At 38.1% G+C, this 27,616-nt stretch overlaps 1 protein-coding gene across 12 annotated transcripts in view, besides 1 other annotated feature; it reads right to left on the reverse strand.

Annotated features, from left to right (window-relative positions):
• Nucleotides 1-27,616, reverse strand: part of IQUB (IQ motif and ubiquitin domain containing) — an 82,403-nt gene that overhangs the window by 49,137 nt on the left and 5,650 nt on the right. For 9 of the 12 annotated variants that reach the window (NR_104245.2, NR_104244.2, NM_178827.5 and 6 more), the window contains 5 exons: nt 10,615-11,015; nt 8,572-8,706; nt 1,873-2,034; nt 1,615-1,787; nt 1,268-1,423 (listed from right to left, as the gene is read on the reverse strand). Coding sequence is in view for 10 of the 12 variants with exons in the window: in NM_178827.5 (NP_849149.3) it covers nt 1,268-1,423; nt 1,615-1,787; nt 1,873-2,034; nt 8,572-8,706; nt 10,615-11,011 (1,023 nt within the window). In the remaining 2 variants the exon portion in view is untranslated. Of the gene's footprint in view, nt 1-1,267; nt 1,424-1,614; nt 1,788-1,872; nt 2,035-8,571; nt 8,707-10,614; nt 11,016-26,915; nt 27,023-27,616 lie in introns of all 12 variants that reach the window. The other 3 variants (XM_047419924.1, XM_005250161.4, XM_017011772.3) reach the window with 2 other exon arrangements.
• Nucleotides 26,025-26,651: an enhancer, noted in NCBI's record as "NANOG-H3K27ac-H3K4me1 hESC enhancer chr7:123167408-123168034 (GRCh37/hg19 assembly coordinates)". NCBI's record gives its function as "activates a minimal SCP1, AML or CMV promoter by ChIP-STARR-seq in naive H9 embryonic stem cells {active_cell/tissue: H9 hESC(naive)}" and the evidence as "EXISTENCE:reporter gene assay evidence [ECO:0000049][PMID:30033119]".

The following is a 27,616-nucleotide window of genomic DNA, read 5'->3' on the forward strand; positions in this document are numbered from 1 at the left end:
AAAGTAAAAATTAATTAAGACTGAGAAAGTAAAAAATTGTCAGGCTGGAATAACAGGCACTAATCAGGTCAGCTACAAAATTAACAAAAACAGTATTTCTCCCAAGGACACTCTACAACTATAAAATATTTCAACAATCCCCTTCTTTTAGTGACTGCTATCTTCTTACTCACTGAGAAACTTCGTTCTCTAAATTCAGAAACTATCAGAAACTTTCCTGTCTGAAATTAGATCAGTAAGAAACAAACATTCCACTCTTGCCTAGAGGTTGCACGTCACTTTGACAGAGAGAAGCAGCCTCAATTATACAACCAAGGTGCTGAACTTCAGAGAACTTCTAAGAAACATTTCCCATCTCTTTTAACTTTGTTTCCAAAGGAACGTGACCTTGGTCTACTTCACAGTCCAGACCTAATGTTGGCCCATTTATACACACCCTTGTTTTGCATTGAGACAATCAGAATACTGCTTCCCCTAAATCCCACTCAAACTTCACTCTTCCCCAAATTATATAATAACTCCATATATTCCTTTATTTGGTGAAATTTAGTTTGGACTGAAAAAGTAAAAAATTATCAGGCTGGAATAACTGGCACTGATAAAGCCTGCTATAAAGTTAACCCCATGGTTCCCCTGGTATACTGTCTCCTTCAGGGCAATTAAGTCAACAGACTTAACTTTTTTTCACTACAAGTTTGTCTCTAAAGGTCTTGGGCTGAATAGCCTAGCTCCAGATTTCTTGTCATTTGAAAAGCAAAATCTCTTAAAGTCACTGCTTTCAGGTCATTTTTACTCACAGTAAATTGATGGTAGGAGGTAGATCAAATAGGTTGAAAGTAAAAGAATGAAAAATGAGAGACTATGCAAAAAAATAAAACAGAGTTGGAGCGGCTATGTTAATATCAGAGAAAATCGACTACTGTCCTATTTGGTTTCAATTAGTCTCGAAAGTTCCCTTGGTGATTCTACTGTGACAAGATTTAAGGCCAAGGGACAGCAGTGTTGAGAAGGCTAATAATGGCCAAAGGCAATACACAAAGAAGCTGGGTTTCCCTAAGAGAAAAGGAAGGATTAGGAGCATTTAGGATGCTGGTTCTTTACATGGGGGAATACTGGAGATAAAGACTGCTTTGTTAGCAGTGAAATATGACCCATACTCATGAGCATTCTTTCTCAAGCAAATGTGGCTTGGAGAAAGAGACACACTCGGAACAACTGGCTTATATATCAAATTTTTAGTATTCATCCACAATAAAAGTTATCTCACCGCCTTTAGTCTTTGAGCATGGTATTCTGCTGCTGAAAAATACTTTCCTGGTGTTACCAGTTTATCAGTCATATTTGATACATATACACCAATGTTAGTCATCTGTGTGGATGTTGTATTTGTAGTTTGTTGGAGATTTTTTTTCTGAAAAACTGTCTAAAAGAAAACATTAAAAATTTAAATCAGTATCCCCTATATATATACATAAGGGAGTTTTTCTACATATGTGAGTTCATTTTCTTTTATTAATTGCCATATAATTACTTAAGAGAAATTTGAGAGAGTCATACAGTACAATTATTGAGTCTATACCTTCAAAAACCTAAAGAGACAAATAAAAACATTACCTGCGTATCCCTACAAAATATACTGAGTCTTTCGGGAATCCTTTTAGGTACAGTTTGTGTTCCAGCATTGTGATACTCTACTCCTGTTACTTTATGTCTGAATCCACCAAGAAATGGTTTGTGAAAGTCAGATTTGACAATCTCAACAGGTACCTGCTGGTATTGATCAAGTCCTGAGAGATAACACCAAGATTCAATGAAAGCTCAACCAAGAAGGGACTCAAAAATACTTTATCTAAAAGACATCAAATAACGAACCAGTTTGGACAGTGACAGTTATGATTTGAGAGACATCAGTTAATCCATCTATTCTTCTGACTGGATACAGATCTGGATTTGTAGAAAAGATTTCCACTTGTACAATTTCCTGTGGCTTAACTCCATGTTGTACTAGAGTCTCATTATTTTTAAGAATTTTTCCTAAAAATTGAAATAAAATTTTTAAAAGTTTTATGACAAAGAAATGGCTATTCATTGATCTTATTTTTTGTTTTTAATTGACAAATAAAAATTGTATATATTGTGTACAGCATGCTTTGAACTATGTATACATTGTGAAGTAGCTTAATACAGCTATTAACATGTCCATTACCTCATATACTTATCATTTTGTGGTAAGAACACTTAATATCTATTTTCTTAGCAATTTTCAAATATGTAATATATTATTATTAACTATAGTCACCATTTCTAGAAATGGCTAATTACACATTCTCATTTTAAGGAGATGGAAAATATCAAAGGTGAACTTTGAAACTTTGAACACATATCATTTAATTATTAAATATACTATTAATATATTTACTCATAGGAACACATATCGTTTAATTATTAAATATAGTATTAATAGTTTCTACCTCTTGCTCTGATGTTAGTACAAAAAACTCCATAATAGGAAGAGTTTTAGTGGCATTCTTGAGAAGGAATTCGGCATTATAAATAACACTACATTACTCTCAGTTCATCAGGAATATAAATACATAACAACCATGAAACTCCATAAACATTTAAAAAATAAAGACATTCTATGGTATGAGCAGAATAATATGCTAAACATTCATTCTATTAAAAAAACGCAATGTGTTAACTGTAAGTACAGGACATACCCATATCAAGAGGAAGGATAATTATTTTAATAGCCATCCTACCCCCCATATTAGTTCTTTCTCACATTGCTATAAAAAACTACCTGAGACTGCATAATTTATAAAGAAAAGACATTTAGGCCACACATGGCGGTTCATGCTTGTAATATCAGCACTTTGGGAGGCCAAAGTGGGCAGATCACTATGGCCAGGAGTTCATGACCAGCCTGTCCAACATGGGAAAACCCAGTCTCTACTAAAAATACAAAACTGAGCCAGGCCGTGGTGGCATATGCCTGTAATCCCAGCTACTCGGGAGGCTGAGGCAAGAGAATTACTTAAACCCGGGAGGAAGAGGTTGCAGTGAGCCAAGATCACACCCTGAACTCAAGCCTGAACGACGGAGCAAAACTCTGTCTCGAAAAAAAATAATAAAAGACGTTTAACTGGCTCACCATTCCACAGGCTGTATGGGAGCATGGCTGGGGAGGCCTCAGGAAAATGTGGCAGAAGGTGAAGAGGAAGAAGGCACATCTTACATGGCCAGAGGAGGAGAAAGAGTGAAGGAGGAGGTGCTACACACTTTTAAACAATCAGATGTCATGAGAACTCACTCACTATCAAGAAGACAGCAAGGGGGAAATCCGCACCCATGATCCATTCGCCTCCCACCAGACCTCTCCTCCAACACTGAGGATTACAATTTGACAAGAGATTTGGGAGAGGACACAAATCCAAACCATATCATTTTGCTCCTGGCTCCTGTCAAATCTCATGTCCTCACATTGCAAAATACAATCATTCCTTCTTAACAGTCCCCCAAGTATTAACTCATTTCAGCAATAACTCTAAAGTCCACAGACCAAAGTCTCATCTGAGACAAGGCAAGTCCCTTCCACCTATGAGCCTATAAAATCAAAAACAAGTTAGTTACTTCCAAGATACAATGGAGATATAGGCATTGGGTAAATATACCCATTCCAAAATGGAGAAATCAGCCAAAACAAAGGGGCTACACATCTCATGCAAGTTCAAAACCCAGCAGGGCAGTTATTGAATCTTAAAGCTTTAAATAATCTCCTTTGATTCCATGTTTCACGTACAGGCCACAGTGATGCAAGGGGTGGGCCCCCAAGGCTTTGGGAAGCTCTACCCCTGTGGCTCCACAGGGCTCAGCTCGCATGGCTGCTCTCAAGAGCTGGCACTGAGTGTCTGCGGCTTTGCCAGGTGCACAGTACAAGCTGCTAATGGATCTACCATTCTGGAGTCTGGAAGACTCCACAGGTACAGCTCCACTAGGCAGTGCCACAGTGGGCACTCTGTGTGGGGGCTCCAATCACATATTTCCCCTTTGCACCACCCTAGCAGAGGTTCTCCATGAGGGCTCTGCTCCTGCAGCCAACTTCTGCCTGGACATCCAAGCATTTCCATACATCCTCTGAAATCTAGGCAGAGGCTCCCAAGCCTCAATTCTTGCCTTCTGTGCACCCACACGCTTAATACCATATGGAAGCCACCAAGGCTTATGGCTTCCACCCTCTGGAGCAATGGCCTGAGGCATATCTGGAGCCCTTTTAGCCAGAGCAGGAGCTGGAGTAGCTGGGATGCAGGCAGAAGTGTCCCAAACGGCCCTGGGCCTAGCTCACAAAACCACTTTTCCCTCCTAGGCCTCCAGGCCTGTGACAAGAGGGGCTGCCATGAAGGTCTCTGAAATGACTTTGAGGCATTTTCCCCATTATCTTGGCCATTAACATTTGGCTCCTTTTTATTATATAAATTTTGCAGCCTGCTTTAATTCCTCCCTTGAAATAGGGTTTTTCTTTTCTACCAAATGATCAGGCTACACATTTTCTAAATTTTTATGCTCTGCTTCCTTTTTAAATATACGTTCCAGTTTCAGATCATCTCCTTGCTCACACATATGACCATATACTGTTAGAACCAGCTAGGCCACATCTTGAATGCTTTGCTGTTTAGAAATTTCTTCCACCAGATACCCTAAATCACCACTTTCAAGTTCAAAGTTCCACAGATCCCTAGAGCAAGGACACAGTGCTGCCGGGTGTCTTTGCTAAAGCATAGCACGTGTGACCTTTACTCCAGTTCCCAATGAGTTCCTCATTTCCATCTGAGACTACTTCAGCCTTGACTCTACTGTCCATATCACTATCAGCATTTTGGTCACAACAATTTAACAAGTCTCTAGGAAGCTCCAAACTTTCCCTCATCTTCCTGTCTTCTTCAAAGGCCTCCAAACACCTGCCCATTACCCAGTTCCAAAGCTGCTTCCATATTTTCAGATAACTTTACAGCAATGCCAAACTTCTTGGTACCAACTTTCTGTATTAGTCCGTTCTCACATTGCTATAAAGAACTACTTAAGATTGGGTAATTTTTAAAGAAAAGAGATTTAATTGGCTCACAATTCCATGGGCTGTACAGGAAGCATGGTTGGGGAGGCCTCAGGAAACTTACAATCATGGCAAAAGGTGAAGAAGGAGGCACGTTTTACATGGCTGAAGCAGGGGGAAGAGAGCAAAGGGGGAGGTGCTGAACACTTTTAAACAACCAGATCTCATGATAACTCACTATCACAAGAACAACAAGGGGGAAATCTGCCCCCATGATCCAATCACCTCCCACAAGGCCCCTCCTCCAACACTGGGGAATACAATTCAACATGAGATTTGGGTGGGGACACAAATCCAAACCACATCGCCCCCAGAACAGAGAAGCATATATGCAGAATCCCTTACTTTCTCTCTTTTCATAATCAGAAACTCATATAAATTAATTCATGCCACGGTAGAGGTAAGCCAGTTTTGTGCTAGAAAAAGTATACATTGCTTAATTTTTATGATGCTATTGTTTTAACTTCTACTCACTCCTCCCCCATCTGCCCAGCCACTGGTGTATTCAGAAATTGACTAATTTTCTTTCTCTATTTTAAGGTATACAAAAATGTAACTATGTGACTGGCTGCTGTTTTGTGTCATGGAAACTTTATTGATGGAATCTATATTAATCTTCAAATTTATGGCCCTTCTAAATTGCAGTTAGGAATGTGAACACTGCAAAAGGTTTACTTATTCTTAGAAATCCATCAGACACCACTACATTCTCCAGCTTACAATGATAATGGCTCAACTTACAATTTTCTGACTTTATGATGATGCAAAAGCCACACACATTTAGTAGAAACCACACTTCGAGCACCCAATCATTCTGTTTTTCACTTTCAGTGCAGTATGCAATAAATTACATGAGATATTCAACACTTATAAAAGAGTCCTTGTATTAAATGATTTTGCCCAACTGTAGGCTAATGTAACTATTCTGAGCACACTTAAGGTAGGCTAGGCTAAGCTATGAAGTTTGGTAGGTTAGGCTTACTAAATGCATTTTTGACATATGATGTTTCCAATTTATGACAGGTTTACTGGGACATAACCCAATCACAAATTGAGGAGCATCTGTAGTCTATTTTGGCTATGTTCAAGAAAGCACATTCTAAGATCTTTGAGTTTCTACTTCACACCCTAAATTCTTCAGTTAAAAAATTAACATGAGGGCCAGGTGCAGTGGCTCACACCTGTAATCCCAGCACTTTGCAAGGCGGGTGGATCATGAGGTCAGGAGTTTGAGACCAGCCTGGCCAATATGGTGAAACCCTGTCTCTACTAAAAATGTAAAAATTAGCCGGGTGTGGTGGCACATCCCTGTAGTCCCAGCTGCTTGGGAGGCTAAGGCAGGAGAATCACTTGAACCTGGGAGGCGGAGGTTGCAGTGAGCGAGATCGTGACACTGACTCCAGCCTGGACAACAGAGTGAGACTCCATCTCAAAAAAAAAAAAAAATTAACATGAATGTCATATGGACTTTATGATAGGTTGGATAACTGCCCCAAGTATGTCTACATCCTAATCTCCCGGACCTATGAATATTACCTTATATGGCAAAAGTGGCTTTGCAGATTTGATTGAGAATTTTGAGTTGGAAAGATTTTCCTGGATTATCTGGTTGGGCCGTAAATGTAATCACAAGTCCCCTTATTAGAGGAAGGAAGAGGAAGATTTGATGACAGAGGAGAAGGCCATATGACAGAAGCAGACAGATTTGAAGATGCTACAGTTCTGGCTTTTAAAACGGAGGAAGGGCCTAATAAGCCAAGAAATACAAGAAATGCAACTCTAAAAGCTGGAAGGGCAAGGAATCAGATTCTCTTCTGGATCCTCCAGAGGGACAGCAGCCCTGTAGACACCTTGAATTTATCTCAATGAAATTAATTTTGGATTTTTTGCCTCCAGAACTATAAGCGAAATATATGTGCTGCTTTAAGCCACTAAGTTTGTGACTGTTAGAACAGCCATAAGAAACCAATACAGGGTCCCCAGAGCCCCCTTTATTTCTCTACTTATTTCTGTAATAGGCTTAATCCCACCAAACTGGAGCTCAAGTTCTAGTACTAGCAGAAAGCACTTTAGAGGATGCCTGGCATAGAGTCAAGCTCTTTTGTAATTCCTGCTGGCATAAGCCTGTTACCCAGTGGTGATGCCTGGTACCTAAAGACGAAAGGTCATGAGGTATAAAGAACAGAGAAATCCTTAAGTACCACTAGCTGGTTACTACAATCTCAAAGTGCTCTCTCATCCAGTTTTGAACTTCACCTTATAGTTAATGTGCAGCAGTTTCAAATTCCCTCTGGAGTCATACCTACATTTAAGTTCAGACTCTGCCACTTACAAGTTTTGTGACTTTGCACAAGTTTCTTGAGTTTTGGGTTTCCTTCTCCCCAAAAAAGAGTTACTAGTAATTCCTACATCAAAAGGCTGCTGTGTGGATTAAATTATAATGTAGGCAAAACATTTTTTGGAAGTACTAGCACACAGTATATGGTCAATAAATTAATCACCAACACCAACAATATGGTCATAATCATTATTACTAATAATTATTTAAATTTTAGCTTTTGTATAGCAAATCAAGTTTTAACAATCACTTATCTGAACACATGAACATCTTACATTTACTATAATAGATTTTTTTAAATAATTTGGAAATTAAATTGTTTTTCTCTGGAAACTTTTTGTGGCATCATTATAAGTCAATATCAAAACTGTTTAAAATATTAGGATCTGTTCAGACATATTCTATAAAAACATATATTTAGGTATGTTAGTCTGATCAACTGTAATAGTTAATAAAGACTATGTCCTCTCAGGACACAAGATTAATATAACTTCAGTGCGCTGTTCAATATCATCCACAAAATATAAATATACCTATCATCATGGAAATGTGCATTGACCTTAATGTACAGAATACTCATAAATCATTTTCAGTCCTCTTCCTGTTCTACACATTCTCTTTCATCATCCATTTTTTCAATCTCATCTCCTCCCGCTACCCATATATAATCTATTTCCAGCCACTCAACACTTCTTACCACTTCCCGAAACTTCCACACTTTCTCACCTCTTTGTGACTTGGCACAATTATTATCACTTTTATTAAATGAAACTTTCTAGAATCTACCAAGTTCCTTCCCCTGTTCCCACAGCTTTTTGTGCATATTTCCATGGAAGCGTTTACACATTACATGGTAGCTACTGCATGCATCTTCTTCCTTACTAATCTGTAAACAATTTCAGAACAGGAATCTTACTTCACATTTCTCTGTATCTTCATTTCTTAGCAAAGTATCTAGAACAAAGTATGTCCTTACTAAATATGTATTGAATGAGTGAATGCATAACCACAATATAATGTTCAATTAGTACCAAGATATTTAGTTTTTAAAATCAAAGATCTTGATTGTTTACATGTTAAAACTAGAAAAGTCTTGATATGTTTTATTAGCCTCCAAACTTACCTGAGTATCTTATCTGCAGTACAGAATGTGGGATACCTAATAAGTGTGAAAAATGGTCCTTAAGATATTTAAGAATGGTATCAACCTTAAAAGGTATTACAATTTCCTGGCCCACTGGAATAAGTACAACTTTTACTGTAAATTAAATAGAAAAGAAAGAATTATAGTCAAATATAGCAAAGGTCAGCAAACTACAGTCCACAAACAGATACAGAATTATGTGTTAATTTTTAATTACATAGAATACAAGTTGTTCTTGCTAGTGTTTCCCTGCTGTGCCCCAATGATAACAGTTACTTTTAATTTTCTATAAGGAGAAGTAGCCAATATTTAGTTGCTTTGAAAATCAACCCATAATCTCAAAAATTAGCTCTAATGTTCAATACCTGGTATGTATCATTCAGATATAAGCATAGGATACATCTCAGGAAATCACGCATTTTTGCATAGTGAATTTAGGAAAGAGAGACCTGAGACAGAGAGAGTGTCCCAGAAGTTAGAAATGCACTATAACTACTTTTCACAAAGAGGGACATTATATGGCTCAATCCCCTCTAGAAAAGAGAGAATCAAGATACTTACACATTAAAAAATTTTTAAATGTTATTATAAAATGATTATCTGTTCATGAATATAGGAGGGAAATACAGTATGTAAAAAGTAATTAATATGGGTAAACTGTTTTACATCTACAGACTTCAAATTTTAATGGAGAAGATGTAAGAAGAAGTAGTATAGAATAAAGACTGTGGATCAAAAAAGTTTTGTATATTTCTAGATTCCTGAAATTACAGTTTTCGTAAAGCTAAAAATAAGACATTTATCAATAACATGACAAAATTTAAGTAGGCATTGGTAATGCGAAGGTTCTTTGAGCTTGTTAAAACTTGTTTCCACAGTTCTCTATCAACAAAGAGAATACTTTCTCAGATGGCAAATATAAGAAGGTTATTTTAATTAATAAATTTTAAAACTTTCATAGTAGTGACTTCTTAAGCTTTGGGAAGGGGAAATGTGTCAAGGGATTTGTGAAGTTCAGGAGGTAAAGGACCAAGACAACATTTTTTTAAAAATCACTATGTGTTTAAGTTATAATATCAGGGAATGACAGAAATACCCAAAAATGAAACCCAAATTTACATTAAATACTAAAATTGAGAGATACCTGCTTCAGTCAGGTATAACTGGGCTTACGTAGTTTTCTCTCCTTCTTTTCTTTCTTTACTTATATGGACACATCACACAAGGGTAAACTACACCACCAGATTCAAAAGCTACATTTTACCAGCCAAACTAAGCTGCTGTTATTATTGTTGTTAAATCATGGCTCATGTTCTCCACTCTGTAGGCAGAAACTCTCTCAAAACTCATTCACAAGACGGAAAAGGAGCAGTCAGTTAACCATGCAACTAGAATGGTTCTCTGTGTAACCACCTTATTGCTGCTGCCACTCTGCTGTTATTAAGAATATAATAATAACTACTGTATGCTATCAACATTATTTTGTGTCTTTAAAATTAACCTACAATGAAAAACAATGATTTTTCTGAAGGAAAATATAAGTTAACACTAAACAGACTATAGAAATATGTAAAAGCAACATGATATGTAGAATAAGCGAGCACTGGATACGAAACTAGAAAAATCCATTGTCTAGTTCCCATGCACCTCTTGCTATTTAGGTACAACAATTAATTCCAAATTGGCATGTAAAATAATTCCCATTTTAGTCAATAATTTCTCCATCATTTTCCAAGGTGGTAAACATTTTTAAAACCTACTTTCTTTGAAAAAATGTATAAATATCAATTTTTAAATTTAATGATGCTCATTCATTGACGAAAAATAGATACTGCAGAATAGAGAAGCTTTCACAAATAGTTAAGAGATTCAAGCTATGTAACTCTGGAAGTTTGGTGGATAAGGGAAAGGGAAAGGAATATCAAATATAAAACAAATCTTTAAGCAAAAATAAGCCAACAAGAAAACGCATTCATTCTTCAAAATGAGAAAATGAAATAGCCTATCTTCCTTAGGTAGTACCTGTTGCTAGAGAATCTTCCACTGATTCTTGCAAAGATTCCTTTACAGACTTTATTTTATCCAGAAATGCCAAACTATCATCATTTGGCCTCTGCATTGCATATTGCTTTTCATGATGTTGCGGAGTATATGAAACTTGTCTTGGTGATATAACCTCTTCCATGAGTTGTTCATTGTCTGGTTCCAGGCTTGAAAAGCTTTGGTCACTCTGCTCCTCAACATGTATTGCATGGCTCTCACTGAATTGTTCTATTCCAGATTCATGCTCTTCAGTTTGATCTGACTCTTGAGGCTCTTCTGAGGGAACTGGAATAGTGACAGTATCAAAAGCATCATCACTCTCTTCTGTTGAATTGACTATATTCTGAGCTTCATACTTCTCCTGTTGATTAGACATTTTCCTGAATTAAGAAAAATAAACACATTTACTACATAGATGAAGTTTCTACACAAAAAATCAAATTCATTGCTAGTATAGAGTAACATTCATAATATTCAACTAAAATGTTGCTCAATTTAAAAAAATGTTTATCTTAGTAATAGCATCAGGTTAAAAAAAAGAACCTCAAAACAATAAATTTGACAATACTCTGCAAAGAATATATGGAAAAACATTTTTTAATATCTTGTCATTTCTTATTTCTTCCTTATTTTAGTCTCATATTTTTTGAAACTTCCTTATTTAATGAAGAATGCCTCATGAAAAGACTTTTTGAATTTCTTTTTTCTGAATACGAAACTGATGGATGCTTCTAGCATTACAAATGATTAGAAGCTCCAAGGAACCAGCCAGCTCTATAGCAAGTGTACCCTGAACAGAATACACTTTTTGTAGTAGCTCTGCTCTTACAAATTGTAGCAGAGGTCTACAGTGACCTCTGCTCCCCCCAAATAAACCTATTACAACAAATATGGATTGAGCTTGGAGCTGACTAGACCCACAGCTATAGCAACCACGAGCTTGGGTCTGGAAGACAAGATGACAGCATCTAAAAGCTTGGGCCAGGATAGTCCAAGGCATGCCAGAGCCGGGCTGCAGATGCAGGAGCTAAATCAGAGAAACAAATGTCCAATATAGCAGGGAGCCCACCTATAGAAGTCAGGAAGGGAAAATAGGGAAGGTAGCCCCCAGACCAGATTTCTATGGCAAAGGCAAGGGGAATATGAAACCTTGAAACAGTAGTGAGGTGGAAAAGCTCTCTCTGGGGCTTCTACTTTGAGCACAAATCTTTATGGAGAAAATAAATTCACCCACAGCCAGTGGAATTCTCTGGCTACTAAGTTATAAATTTTTAAAAATGGAAATATCTGCAATAAAAATATATAATTGTTTATCTCAGTGAATAAGCTATACAAGATTAGAGAGAGTTGAAGAGAGAATTAGTAAACTGGAAGATAAATAAAATGATTTTATATAGAATGATGCAAACAGATAAGATACAAAAAATATGAGACTAAAAGCCATGGAAAAGAAAGCCTAGCATGTTTTTGCTAAGCATATATTTTGTTGTGAGCTAAGAATGATTTTGTATTGTGAAACCAAAAAACAACAAAGATGCATTGGAGACTATGTGCGGTCTTTGCAGTCTAAAAAAAACCTGTGAAGTCCTTTTCATAAAATGTTTGCCAGCTTCTGAACTAACATATGTCAAAATGGAGTCCCAGAAGGAAAAATAGAAAGATAGAGGAGAAAAAATATTTTTATGTATTATTTATTCTTTTTGAGACAGAGTATTGCTCTGTCGCCCAGGCTGGAGTGCAGTGGTCCAATCTCGGCTCACTGCAAACTCCACCTCCCAGTTTCAAGTGATTCTCCTGCCTTAGCCTCCTGAGTCACTGGGTCTACAGGTATGTGCTACCACACTCAGCTTATTTTTGAATTTTTAGTAGAGATGGGGTTTTGCCATGTTGGCCAGGCTGGTCTCAAACTCCTGGCCTCAAGTGATTCATCTGCCTCAGCCTCCCAAAGTGTTGGGATTACAGGCATGAGCCATGATACCCAGCCAGGAAAAATATTTTAAAAGGTTATAGCTGAGAACTCTTCAAAACTGATAAAAGAATACGGATCCTCAGATCCAGGAAGCATAACATAAATATATACCAAACAGGTTAAATAAAAATAATTAATAGTCATATACATTGTAATGAAATTACAGACTATCGAAGACAAAGAGAAGGTCCTGAAAGTACAATGATAAAGAATATAACATCTGCTGTTTTGAATCATATTAATTTGCTGACATTAATACAAAGAAAAGTAAAATCACTGCAGACTTATCAGAAAAATAGGAGCCAATGCAACAATAGGCTAACTGAAAGAAGAAAACTATCAACCTAGAATTGTGCACCCAGCAAAATTACCTCTCAAGAAAGAAAACAGAAGCATTTACAAGTTAGTTACTAAGTTACCACCAAGATATTTGCTCTAAAGGAACTTCTAAAGAATATACTCAAAGGAGGAAAATGATTTCAAGGGATGTCTGAAGTGCAACTTGGAAAGGTAAATGTGAAAAATCATAAACATATGGGTAAATCCAAACAAATACTGTTAATACAAAATGATAGTAAATTGAAATATTAGACAATAATATATAATTGAGAAGGGAAAAAAACAGACCAAACTCTCTCAAATCCTTACACTGTTTATAATTTGTTTATTTGTATAGACTTAGGGAGTACAAGTACAGTGCAGTTTTGTTACATTAATATATTGTGTAGTGGTGAAGTCTGGGCTTTTATTGAGGCCATCACCCTAATAGTATACACAGTACCCACTGAATAATTTCTCATCCCTCACACCCTTCCCATGCTCCCTTTCTTTCAAGTCTCCAATGTCTATTATTCCACTCTCTATGTTCAGGTATAGATGTTATTTCACTCCTACTTATAAGTGAGAACATGTGATATTTGACTTTCTGTTTCTGAGTTATTTCACTTAAAATAATGGCCTCCCATTCCAAGGGGGACATATTCTTAACCTTAGACTTTGTTACTTAAATATGCACAGTTAAATCTCACTATAAGCAATAAAAAACAGAAACATAGTTTTTAAATTTCAAAACAATCAAGAGGGAAAGAAGTGGAATGAGAAAAACCTGAACAAAGCTCAATTTTAAAAAAAATCAAGAAACTTCTTCAGGCTCTCACCACAAAAAACAAAAAACAAACAAACAAAAAACAAAAAACACACACACAAAAACACCATTTTGATTATTTTCTCCTGTAACAGAGCTTAATGGCCTAATTAGAAAGAGAATATCATAACAAAGCCCTACCTCCTAGCAACATATTAGCCAACACCCCAAACTAGCCAAGATGGTATCTTCTAAAAACAGCAATAACAACAAAATCAAGAACTTCTGCTCTTCAGAAAACACAACTGGGAGAATAAAAAGACAAATCATAGACTGGAAGATACTTTTCACAAAATGCATATCTGATAAAGGACTTATATTCAGACTATATAGAGAATAATAAGAAAAAATAATATTTAAAAAGGGTAAAAGATTTAAACAGACACTTCACCAAAGAATACATATAGAAGGCAATTAAGCAGGGCCAGGCCTAGGTTGAGGCAAGTGAAGTGCCTAACTGCTCTACACTTGTACTCATGTCTGAAAATGAATGCCTCCTAAAATTTTGGGCCTAGGTACATCATTTGCATCACCCTAGTCTCAGCCCTGAGAACAAACACATAAAAATAAGCTCAATATCATTACTCATTATAAAAATGGAATTTCAAATCACAATGAGATAGCACTACATACCTATTAGAATAATTAAAATAATATTTTTTAAAGCTCTCTAATAGCAAGTGCTAGTGAGTGCATATAAAGACAAGTGGTACACACAACAACATGGATGAAACTCAAATTATGCTCAGTGAAGAAGCCAGCTTTACTAAGGCTGTGTACTATTGACTCAATTTATATGACAAATCCTAGGGTTAGAAAACATACCAAAGCCTAAGGGTAAAGATAAGAGTTGATTACAGAAGGATGTGGGGATTTTTTACGTGATGGAAACACTCAAAATCTCAATTGTGGTAGTGGTTATGCAAACTATATGCGTTTATTAAAATGTATAGCACTGCAGACTAAAGAGGGCAAATTTTAATGTGTCTAGATTATCCCTTACTAGAAAGATGACAAAAAGTAAAAGCAATTAATGCTCCTTTCAGTAGGGGGAAAAAAAGTGTGCTATTAAGACTAAGACTCAAGGAATTTCAATAACAATAACAATTTTTGAAAATCGACGAGGCAGGGAAAAAGAACTGATCCCAGATGTAAGGTCAGTAGTATAGGAAATGATAAATAGCAAAGAAAGTGAAAATACATGGGTAAATATAAATGCACTTTGGCTGTATAAAAATAATGTCATAAAGTCATACACACACAGAAATACAAAACAATCATTTGTCATATCTGTTGTGGGGGTGAAAATGATAAAAAGGGCATTTATCTTATCATAATTCATTAATCTGTAAATGTGTTTTATGTGGCTTTCTGATTTTGTGCTATACTTAATAAAGAAGCCAAATCAAAAAGAAGAAAGAGGAAGAGGAGGATGAAGTACTCTATATGTTGACAGAAGTCACACTCCAAGATTTATTAAGTGAGAAAAAGAAAGAAGGTGAAATAAGAATATATATTCATGTTTGTTTCTATTTGGATAAAGAAACACTCAGAAAAGTATGAAAGAAACTAAGAAAACTAGTTATCTGATGGGGGGCAAGGTGAGTAGGAAGTAGCCAGAACAAGGGTGGGCTCCAGAATTCTCAATGTATTATTTTTAATATTTTTAAACAATATAAATGTATTACCTGTTTTAAAAATTAGATAAGACATCATAGGGAAAACACAAGGTGGCTGGGAGAATATGTGATCAAGAGTGGTAAAGCCTCTTTAGGAATAGGAACTAAAAATTATGACAGGTCTGAGATTTCATCCTACCTACAAGCTAACAATTTAGCCTGCCATAGTTTCATGAATACTGTCAGAATAGATAAGACTCCTGGGCCAGAGAAAAAGGACTTTATTACTCATGGCACAGCAGATAGCATGAGCTTTATATTCACATAGGATCCCTGTGCCCCCAAATCCCAGAGGAACAATGTGGAATGCCCAATTAGATGCCATACACACAGTGGGTTTGCATCACAGCTAAGAAACCCCAAGCTTAGAAACTCCAATCCTTTATAATGGACTGCAAGCAAATATGCCTAACCTTTGCCTTGGGGGAATATATCATTGTTATTATATTAGACAGATAAATCTGACCTCTGCTTTAGAAAGAGACCCTATATCGGCAGGGCGCTGTGGCTCATGCCTGTAATCCCAGCACTTTGTGAGGCCGAGGCGGGTGGATCACGAGGTCAGGAGATCGAGACCATCCTGGCTAACACGGTGAAACCCCGCTCTACTAAAAATACAAAAAAATTAGCCGGGCGTTGTGGCAGGCGCCTGTAGTCCCAGCTACTCGGGAGGCTGAGGCAAGAGAATGGCGTGAACCCAGGAGGCAGAGCTTGCAGTGAGCCGAGATTGCGCCACTGCACTCCAGCCTGGGTGACAGAGCGAGACTCCATCTCAAAAAAAAAAAAAAAAAAAAAAAAAAAGAAAGAGACCCTATATCTTTTAAGACTGTTCAGTATACAAATACCCTTGAAAACAAAATTCAAAACAAAGCTGTCAGTGTCTCTTAAGCAGAAATTCTAGAGAACCACAGGGAACTGTCTTCCATGAGGAATCAGAACCATCCATGGACCAACAACAAAAAAGCTTCTGAGAGTCAGTATCTAGTGATTATTTTCATAGCTATGTAGTAAGAATAACCATTTCACAACAGCAATTACATTGTCTTTCCTACAGCCAGCAAGAACAATGCTTGCTCACCTATGCCCTGAAACTTTGTTAGGTTCCATCTGACACTACCCAATGTGAACAAGGCCCCATTTAACAGACACAACACTTAAAAGCAGTCCGAAGGTATAGATACCTAAAGGGCAAGCCATGCCTATATCTGTCTAATAAGGTTGAAAAGGATTAAACCAGCTTGAATGCCCACCAGGGCATGAGAGTTGATCCAATAGGCCTAAGATAATAAATTTCATAACTGTAACATGAGTAAATTATATCTAACAGTATAATAAAACAATAATATAACACAACCAAGGAAGGTCTACTTTTAGAGTCATCCTTTTATTTTTTTTTTCTTTCGCTCACCCATTATCCAGCCACTCAAAAAGCACTGTCAATACTGACCTGAAAATTTAGTCTCAGTCTACTTTTTTCTGCCATCCTATCATATTTTGACAGTACTACTGCAACAGTCTCTTAGCTGGTTATCTTAATTTCATTCTTGAAACTCCTACCCCACCAACCCCTGCCAAAAAAATCCATTATTCTCACAGCAGCCAGAAAAATATTTTTTAAAGAAAATCATGCCATGCCCCTCTCATACTTGCTTAAATACCTCTAAAATAAAATGCTTTCCAGAATAAAATCCAAACTACTCACCATGGCCTTCAAGGTCCTAAATGATCTAGCCCCTGCCTCTCTGACCTCATCTTCTAAACAACCCCACCTTTTACCATATCTAGGGCTGATCTCCCTCTTGGGGCTTTTGCATTTTATGTTTCCTCTGTCAGAAATGTGTTACTACAAACATTTTTTGAGGTAGTCTGGCTCTGTCACCCAGGCTACAGTACAGTGGTGCGATCTCAGCTCACTGCAACCTCTGCCTCCTGGTTCAAGCAATTCTCCTGCCTCAGCCTCCCAAATAGCTGGGATTACAGGCGCCCACCACCACGCCTGGCTAATTTTTGTATGTTTAGTAGATACACAGTTTCACTATGTTGGCCAGGCTGGTCTCAAACTCCTGACCTCAGGTGATCTGCCCACCTCAGCCTCCCAAAGTGCTGGGATTACAGGCATGAGCCACTGCACCTGGCCTGTTACTACAAATCTTTATGACTAATTCCTCATCTTCCATGTCTCAGTTTCCAGGGAGGCCTCCCTAATCATACCTCAAATACCCCCTAATTTATTTTTTTCATCAATATAATCACTACATTTCTCAAAAGAAGACATAAAAATAGCCAACAGGTATATGAAAAAATACTCAACATCAATAATAATCAGAGAAATGCAAATCAAAACCACAATAAGACATCATCTCACCCCAGTTAAAATGGCTATTGTCAAAAAGAAAATAACAGATGCTGGCAAGGATGCAAAGAAAGGGGAATGGTAGTACACTGTTAGCGGGAAATGTAAATTACTACAGCCATTGTAGAAAACAGCAGGAAGTTTCCTTAAAAAACTAAAAATAGTTCTACCATATAATCCAGCAATTCCACTGCTGGGTATATAACCAAAAGAAAGGAAATCAGCATATTGAAGAGATATCTGCACTCCCATGTTTACTACAGCACTATCCACAATAGTCAATCAACCTAAGTGTCTACCACCGAATAAAGAAAGAAAATGTGGCATGTATACACACAATGAAATATTATTAAGCCATAAAAAAGAATGAAATTATGTCATTTGCAACAACATGGGTGAAACTGGGGGACATTATGTTAAGTAAAATAAGCAAGGCACAGAAAGACAAATATCACATGTTCTCATTCAAAAGTAGGAGCTTAAAAAGTTGATCTCACAAGGATAGAGAGTAGAATGATGGTTACCAGAAGCTGAGAAGGGCAGGAGGGAGGAAGGATGAAGTAAGGTTGGTTAAGGGGTTCAAAAATACATTTACATAGAAGGAGTAAGTTCTATGTTTGATAGCACCGTACGGTGACTATAGTTAACAATATTTTATATTTCAAAATAGCTAGAAGAAAAGTTTTGGAATATTCCCAGAACAAAGAAATGACAAGGTAACAGATATCCTAATTACCTTAATTTGATTATTACAAATTGTATGCACGTATCAAATATCACAGTTGCTCAATAAATATGTACAATTATGTATAAACAAAAATTTTTAAATTTTTGAAAAGCATTGGCCATGGCTGAATTCATTCATGCTTTCAACAAATTTTTATTGGGTACCTACTCATTACCAGTCCCCCTTTTAGCTGTGTGTAGAGACACTTCTATGTTTCTACACACAGCCATGGACAAGGCTTTTCAAAAATTTTTAAATTTTTGTTGATACACAATTATTGCACATATTTATTGGACACACGTGATTATTTGATACATATCTTTATCTGACCCAGTATATATTTTACTAATTTAGTTGTTACTTGCCCATTTTCCTCACTAGAATATAAGCTTTTTTTACTGCAGGGATTTTGATCTGGTTGGTAGTTTGCAGTTTTTACTGCAGAGATTTTGATCTGCAGTTTAAAAAAAGCTTATATTCTAGTGAGGAAAATGGACAAGTAATAACTAAATTAGTAAAATATACATTGGATCAGATAAAGAGCTAGCAAAATAATAAAGCAAAGAAGGTGGCTAGGAAGTATGAGACTATCAGGAAAGAGTATGGCAGAGCAGAGTGGCAAGTTTTGCTAAGTATATGTGTGGGGAAGGAATGCCTCTCTGGTTGAAATGACATCTGAGCAGGAGGCTGAACTGAGAAAATAAGCAAGGCATGAGGACAAATGGAGAAATGAGAAGCATCACATATCTGAGGAATAACTAGCTAGTCAACTTATGTGGCTAGAGAGCAGTGAGTTAAGAAAAGAGCAATAGAAGATGAAGCTAGAGACGAGGTTGTGGGGAGAGGGCATTAGATTGTGGAAGGTAGGGGAGTGGGAAGCTGGTAGGACATTAGGAGTCTACTGGAATCTATTGTAGTAACCTTGACATGAGGTGAAATGGACCTGGGTGACAGTAGAGGAGATGATGAGAAGTGCTGACTGGATTCTGGATATATTTTTAAAATACAGCTGAAAGGATTTAGTGATGAACTAAATGTGGGCTATGAGATAGAGAGGAATCAAGGATACTGCTAACATTTTTAGCCCAAGTAACCAGAAGGATAGAGCTACATTTACAGAAATAAGGAAAACTTCAAATAAAGGAGGCCTGAGGTATGCATGGAAATTAGATCAGTCTGATTTGGGGTATGCTGAGTTTGAGATGCCCATTGGACACTGGGTTAGCAGTTTGAAGTTCTGAGAAGATGTTGTCCTGGAAATTGGAGAGTCAGAAGTCTATGGTATTTAAAGCCATGAGACATGTGAAATCAATGCAGTCAGAAACGGAAGCCACATATTATAAAGTTCCTTTCATAGGTACTGGATAAATCCTTACCCCTCCATCTTCCTCCTCAATGTGTCTGCCTCCATTTCCTAGTTGCTATGGTTTCTAATGCTTATATTTATTTCACCCTAATTTTAGTATGTTAGGTGTCCTAGATTGCTCCCCTCCAAGCAATCTATCTCCTTACAAACAAAATGAGGGCTGGGTGCAGTAACTCACGCCTGTAATCCCAGCACTTTGGGAGGCCGAGGTGGTCAGATCTCTCGAGCCTAGGAATTCAATACCAGCCTGGGCAACATAGTGAGACCCTGTCTCTACAAAAAATACAAACTTAGCCGGGCATTGTATTGTGGCACGCACCTGCAATTCTAATTACTCAGGAGGCTGAGGTTGGAAGATCGCTTCAGCCAGGGCGGTGGAGATTGTAGTGAGCCAAGATCTCACCACTGCCCTCCAGCCAGAGTGATGGAGTGAGACCCTGTCTAAATAAACACACACACACACACACACACACACACACAGAGATCACAGTTCTCTGTAACCTGTAGATTGTATGTATAGTAGTGCCTAAGGTTCATAGGTCCTTAATTAATGATATGAATGACCCAAATAACTACATGTTTTCAAGACATTAGTTGTTTATAAAAAGGGTGATTAGCAACTGTGTTTATGATGGTTAGCAGTGATAAGCATTTATTCAACCTAAAAATAAGAAATGTCAAGGTTTCTAAGTCATGACTTCATTGCCATGCAGTACAGTGATTCTCAGCTTTGGTTTCCTAAAGTGGAATATCAGAAGGGCTGACTGGAGCCAGCCCACCTGAGTTTGAATCTAGACTTAACAACTTCTTGTTGAAAGAAGCAATCGGCCATGGGTCTTGAGTGTCCCTACATGTTCCTGTGGGTGTGACAAAAATGCAAGGCCATGACCACTGTTTACCCAGACCATTTCTCAGGGTTCTGTTTGCACCGAGAAACTGCAACAGCTGAGATAAACTCTTTCCCCAAAACAAAGAGCAGGCTTTCTTTGGTTTACTGTAAAAGCAGTAAATTCCCCATGTGCAAGCATCCATGTAGACTCACTGGTGTTTCCCCTGTTGGACTGGGTGGGGCTTGGGAAATTGGCACAAACTTGAAGCACTGGCTACTTCTTTTGCATGTGTCCTTTGACCCAGCATCCAAGAAACAGTGACTAATTTATTAGTTTGTACATAGGGTAAAACGCCAGACCCCTCACAGTTCCTGATACTTACTAGCTATATGACTTTGAGATACAGAGGTTTCTTAACCTAAGTCTCATATTCCACACTTGTGAAATGGGATATTAGTAGTTTCAACATCAAAGTTTCTTCCAAGAATTAAATAAAGTAGTGTATATAAAGTACTTAGCAAACAGTGCCTGGCACACAATAAGCATATAATAAATGTTAGCTAATTAGTAATGAACTATTTCTAAAATTTCCAAATGGCTAATGATAATTATACATTAATAATGACTCCTAGGTATTACATAATTACTCGTTTTATAAAGTAGGAGAAAAAAATACTTTTATTATTATACTTTAAGTTTTAGGGTACATGTGCACAATGTGCAGGTTACTTACATATGTATACGTGTGACATGCTGGTGTGCTGCACCCATTAACTCGTCATCTAGCATTAGGTATATCTCCCAATGCTATCCCTCCCCCCTCCCCCCACCCCACAACAGTCCCCAGAGTGTGATGTTCCCCTTCCAGTGTCCATGTGTTCTCACTGTTCAATTCCCACCTATGAGTGAGAATATGCGGTGTTTGGTTTTTTGTTCTTGCGATAGTTTACTGAGAATGATGATTTCCAATTTCATCCATGTCCCTACAAAGGACATGAACTCATCATTTTTTATGGCTGCATAGTATTCCATGGTGTATATGTGCCACATTTTCTTAATCCAGTCTATCATTGTTGGACATTTGGGTTGGTTCCAGGTCTTTGCTATTGTGAATAATGCTGCAATAAACATACATGTGCATGTATCTTTATAGCAGCATGATTTATAGTCCTTTGGAAATATACCCAGTAATGGGATGGCTGGGTCAATGGTATTTCTAGTTCTAGATCCCTGAGGAATCGCCACACTGACTTCCACAATGGTCAAACTAGTTTACAGTCCCACCAACAGTGTAAAAGTGTTCCTATTTCTCCACATCCTCTCCAGCACCTGTTGTTTCCTGACTTTTTAATGATTGCCATTCTAACTGGTGTGAGATGATATCTCATTGTGGTTTTGATTTGCATTTCTCTGATGGCCAGTGATGTTGAGCATTTTTTCATGTGTTTTTTGGCTGCATAAATGTCTTCTTTTGAGAAGTGTCTGTTCATCTCCTTTGCCCACTTTTTGATGGGGTAGTTTGTTTTTTTCTTGTAAATTTGTTTGAGTTCATTGTAGATTCTGGATATTAGCCCTTTGTCAGATGAGTAGGTTGCGAAAATTTTCTCCCATTTTGTAGGTTGCCTGTTCACTCTGATGGTAGTTTCTTTTGCTGTGCAGAAGCTCTTTAGTTTAATTAGATCCCATTTGTCAATTTTTACTTTTGTTGCCATTGCTTTTGGTGTTTTAGACATGAAGTCCTTGCCCACGCCTATGTCCTGAATGGTAATGCCTAGGTTTTCTTGTAGGGTTTTTATGGTTTTAGGTCTAATGTTTAAGTCTTTAATCCATCTTGAATTGATTTTTGTATAACGTGTAAGGAAGGGATCCAGTTTCAGCTTTCTCCATATGGCTAGCCAGTTTTCCCAGCACCATTTATTAAATAGGGAATCCTTTCCCCATTGCTCGTTTTTCTCAGGTTTGTCAAAGATCAGATAGTTGTAGATATGCGGCATTATTTCTGAGGGCTTTGTTCTGTTCCATTGATCTATATCTCTGTTTTGGTACCAGTACCATGCTGTTTTGGTTACTGTAGCCTTGTAGTATAGTTTGAAGTCAGGTAGTGTGATGCCTCCAGCTTTGTTCTTTTGGCTTAGGATTGACTTGGTGATGTGGGCTCTTTTTTGGTTCCATATGAACTTTAAAGTAGTTTTTTCCAATTCTGTGAAGAAAGTCATTGGTAGCTTGATGGGGATGGCATTGAATCTGTAAATTACCTTGGGCAGTATGGCCATTTTCACGATATTGATTCTTCCTACCCATGAGCATGGAATGTTCTTCCATTTGTTTGTATCCTCTTTTATTTCCTTGAGCAGTGGTTTGTAGTTTTCCTTGAAGAGGTCCTTCATATCCCTTGTAAGTTGGATTCCTAGGTATTTTATTCTCTTTGAAGCAATTGTGAATGGGAGTTCACTCATGATTTGGCTCTCTGTCTGTTGTTGGTGTATAAGAATGCTTGTGATTTTTGTACATTGATTTTGTATCCTGAGACTTTGCTGAAATTGCTTATCAGCTTAAGGAGAGTTTGGGCTGAGACAATGGGGTTTTCTAGATATACAATCATGTCGTCTGCAAACAGGGACAATTTGACTTCCTCTTTTCCTAATTGAATAGCCTTTATTTCCTTCTCCTGCCTAATTGCCCTGGCCAGAACTTCCAACACTATGTTGAATAGGAGTGGTGAGAGAGGGCATCCCTGTCTTGTGCCAGTTTTCAAAGGGAATGCTTCCAGTTTTGGCCCATTCAGTATGATATTGGCTGTGGGTTTGTCATAGATAGCTCTTATTATTTTCAGATACGTCCCATCAATACCTAATTTATTGAGAGTTTTTAGCATGAAGTGTTGTTGAATTTTGTCAAAGGCCTTTTCTGCATCTATTGAGATAATCATGTGGTTTTTGTCTTTGGTTCTGTTTATATGCTGGATTACATTTATTGATTTGCGTATATTGAACCAGGCTTGTATCCCAGGGATGAAGCCCACTTGATCATGTTGGATAAGCTTTTTCATGTGCTGCTGGATTCGGTTTGCCAGTATTTTATTGAAGATTTTTGCATCAATGTTCATCAAGGATATTGGTCTAAAATTCTCTTTTTTGGTTGTGTCTCTGCCCAGCTTTGGTATCAGGATGATGCTGGCCTCATAAAATGAGTTAGGGAGGATTCCCTCTTTTTCTATTGATCGGAATAGTTTCAGAAGGAATGGTACCATTTCCTCCTTGTACCTCTGGTAGAATTCGGCTGTGAATCCATCTGGTCCTGGACTCTTTTTGGTTGGTAAGCTATTGATTATTGCCACAATTTCAGCTCCTGTTATTGGTCTATTCAGAGGTTCAACTTCTTCCTGGTTTAGTCTTGGGAGAGTGTATGTGTCCAGGAATTTATCCATTTCTTCTAGATTTTCTAGTTTATTTGCGTAGAGGTGTTTGTAGTATTCTCTGATGGTAGTTTGTATTTCTGTGGGATAGGTGGTGATATCCCCTTTATCATTTTTTATTGCGTCTATTTGATTCTTCTCTCTTTTTTTCTTTATTCGTCTTGCTAGCGGTCTATCAATTTTGTTCATCCTTTCAAAAAACCAGCTCCTGGATTCATTAATTTTTTGAAGGGTTTTTTGTGTCTCTGTTTCCTTCATTTCTGCTCTGATTTTAGTTATTTCTTGCCTTCTGCTAGCTTTTGAAAGTGTTTGCTCTTGCTTTTCTAGTTCTTTTAATTGTGATGTTAGGATGTCAATTTTGGATCTTTCCTGCTTTCTCTTGTGGGCATTTAGTGCTATAAATTTCCCTCTACACACTGCTTTGAATGCATCCCAGAGATGCTGGTATGTTGTGTCTTTGTTCTCGTTGGTTTCAAAGAACATCTTTATTTCTGCCTTCATTTTGTTATGTACCCAGTAGTCATTCAGGAGCATGTTGTTCAGTTTCCATGTAGTTAAGCGGTTTTGAGTGAGATTCTTAATCCTGAGTTCTAGTTTGATTGCACTGTGGTCTGAGAGATAGTTTGTTATAATTTCTGTTCTTTTACATTTGCTGAGGAGAGCTTTACTTCCAAGTATGTGGTCAATTTTGGAATAGGTGTGGTGTGGTGCTGAAAAAAATGTATATTCTGTTGATTTGGGGTGTAGAGTTCTGTAGATGTCTATTAAGTCCACTTGGTGCAGAGCTGAGTTCAATTCCTGGGTATCTTTGTTGACTTTCTGTCTCGTTGATCTGTCTAATGTTGACAGTGGAGTGTTAAAGTCTCCCATTATTAATGTGTGGGAGTCTAAGTCTCTTTGTAGGTCACTCAGGACTTGCTTTATGAATCTGGGTGCTCCTGTATTGGGTGCATATATATTTAGGTTAGCTCTTCTTGTTGAATTGATCCCTTTACCATTAAGTAATGGCCTTCTTTGTATCTTTTGATCTTTGTTGGTTTAAGGTCTGTTTTATCAGAGACTAGGATTGCAACCCCTGCCTTTTTTTGTTTTCCATTTGCTTGGTAGATCTTCCTCCATCCTTTTATTTTGAGCCTATGTGTGTCTCTGCACGTGAGATGGGTTTCCTGAATACAGCACACTGATGGGTCTTGACTCTTTATCCAATTTGCCAGTCTGTGTCTTTTAATTGGAGCATTTAGTCCATTTACATTTAAAGTTAATATTGTTATGTGTGAATTTGATCCTGTCATTATGATGTTAGCTGGTTATTTTGCTCATTAGTTGATGCAGTTTCTTCCTAGTCTCGATGGTCTTTACATTTTGGCGTGATTTTGCAGCGGCTGGTACCAGTTGTTCCTTTCCACGTTTAGCGCTTCTTCAGGCGCTCTTTTAGGGCAGGCCTGGTGGTGACAAAATCTCTCAGCATTTGCTTGTCTGTAAAGTATTTTATTTCTCCTTCACTTATGAAGCTTAGTTTGGCTGGATATGAAATTCTGGGTTGAAAATTCTTTTCTTTAAGAATGTTGAATATTGGCCTCCACTTTCTTCTGGCTTGTAGCCTTCATTTCATTCATTTCATCTTCCATCGCTGATACCCTTCCTTCCAGTTGATCACATCGGCTCCTGAGGCTTCTGCATTCTTCACGTAGTTCTCGAGCCTTGGTTTTCAGCTCCATCAGCTCCTTTAAGCACTTTTCTTTATTGGTTATTGTAGTTATACATTCTTCCAAATTTTTTTCAAAGTTTTCAACTTCTTTGCCTTTGGTTTGAATTTCCTCCTGTAGCTCGGAGTAATTTGATCGTCTGAAGCCTTCTTCTCTCAGCTCGTCAAAGTCATTCTCCATCCAGCTTTGTTCTGTTGCTGGTGAGGAACTGCGTTCCTCTGGAGGAGGAGAGGCACTCTGCTTTTTAGAGTTTCCAGTTTTTCTGCTCTGTTTTTTCCCCATCTTTGTGGTTTTATCTACTTTTGGTCTTTGATGATGGTGATGTACAGATGGGTTTTTGGTGTGGATGTCCTTTCTGTTTGTTAGTTTTCCTTCAAACAGACAGGACCCTCGGCTGCAGGTCTGTTGGAGCACCCGGCCGTGTGAGGTGTCAGTCTGCCCCTGCTGGGGGGTGCCTCCCAGTTAGGCTGCTCGGGGGTCAGGGGCCAGGGACCCACTTGAGGAGGCAGTCTGCCCGTTCTCAGATCTCCAGCTGCGTGCTGGGAGAACCACTGCTCTCTTCAAAGCTGTCAGACAGGGACATTTAAGTCTGCAGAGTTTACTGCTGTCTTTTTGTTTGTCTGTGCCCTGCCCCCAGAGGTGGAGCCTACAGAGGCAGGCAGGCCTCCTTGAGCTGTGGTGGGCTCCACCCAGTTGGAGCTTCCCAGCTGCTTTGTTTACCTAAGCAAGCCTGAGCAATGGCGGGCGCCCCTCCCCCAGCCTCGCTGCCGCCTTGCAGTTTGATCTCAGACTGCTGTGCTAGCAATTAGCGAGACTCCGTGGGCGTAGGACCCTCCGAGCCGGGTGGGGGATATAATCTCCTGGTCCGCCGTTTTTTAAGCCTGTCGGAAAAGCGCAGTATTCGGGTGGGAGTGACCCGATTTTCCAGGTGCCGTCTGTCACCACTTTCTTTGACTAGGAAAGGGAACTCCCTGACCCCTTGCGCTTCCCAAGTGAGGCAATGCCTCGCCCTGCTTCGGCTCGCGCACGGTGCACGCACCCACTGACCTGCGCCCACTGTCTGGCACTCCCTAGTGAGATGAACCCTGTACCTCAGATGGAAATGCAGAAATCACCCGTCTTCTGCGTCGCTCACGCTGGGAGCTGTTGACCAGAGCTATTCCTATTTGGACATCTTGACTCCTCCCCGAAAAAAATACTTTTAAAATAAAGCATAATATTAGCAAATACTTATACCAAATTATTTAATTCTCACAGATGATATCATTATGCCCATTTTACAGATAAAGAAATTAGCACAGAGAGGTTAAGCAATATTTTCAAGAACCCAGAGCTAGTAGGCAGTATATCTGGGATCCAAATCCAGGCAGTCTGGATCCAGAACCCATGCCCTTAACCACTTAACTGTGCTGTATCTCAGTGTAGGAGTCCATGGGGGATTGGGAGGAGAACAGAAAAGGGGTCCTGGTGATGAAGAAAAAGTCTAGAAACTGATCTCCCTGCAGATGAAAAAGCTAAGACCCAGGAATGCCTCATGGTAGGTTAGTGGTAGTCAGATCCAGAATTTAACTAACAATTTTGCCATCAGATATATTATCAGAGAATGTCTTTTATTCTTAAGTGACAAACATGACTATGATTTAAAATAGAGTAAAAAATATTCAGCAGATTTTTTTTCACCCATCTAGAACAAGGAGCTAATTTTATTGGTTCCTAATACCCCCTCATATGTACATATTAATATGCTCTACTTGCATACATATGTGTAAACTCTCACTGCAGCAAATATTAA

The sequence above is a fragment of the Homo sapiens genome, chromosome 7 (genome assembly GCF_000001405.40).
Source record: "Homo sapiens chromosome 7, GRCh38.p14 Primary Assembly".
NCBI classification, from domain to species: Eukaryota; Metazoa; Chordata; class Mammalia; order Primates; family Hominidae; genus Homo; species Homo sapiens.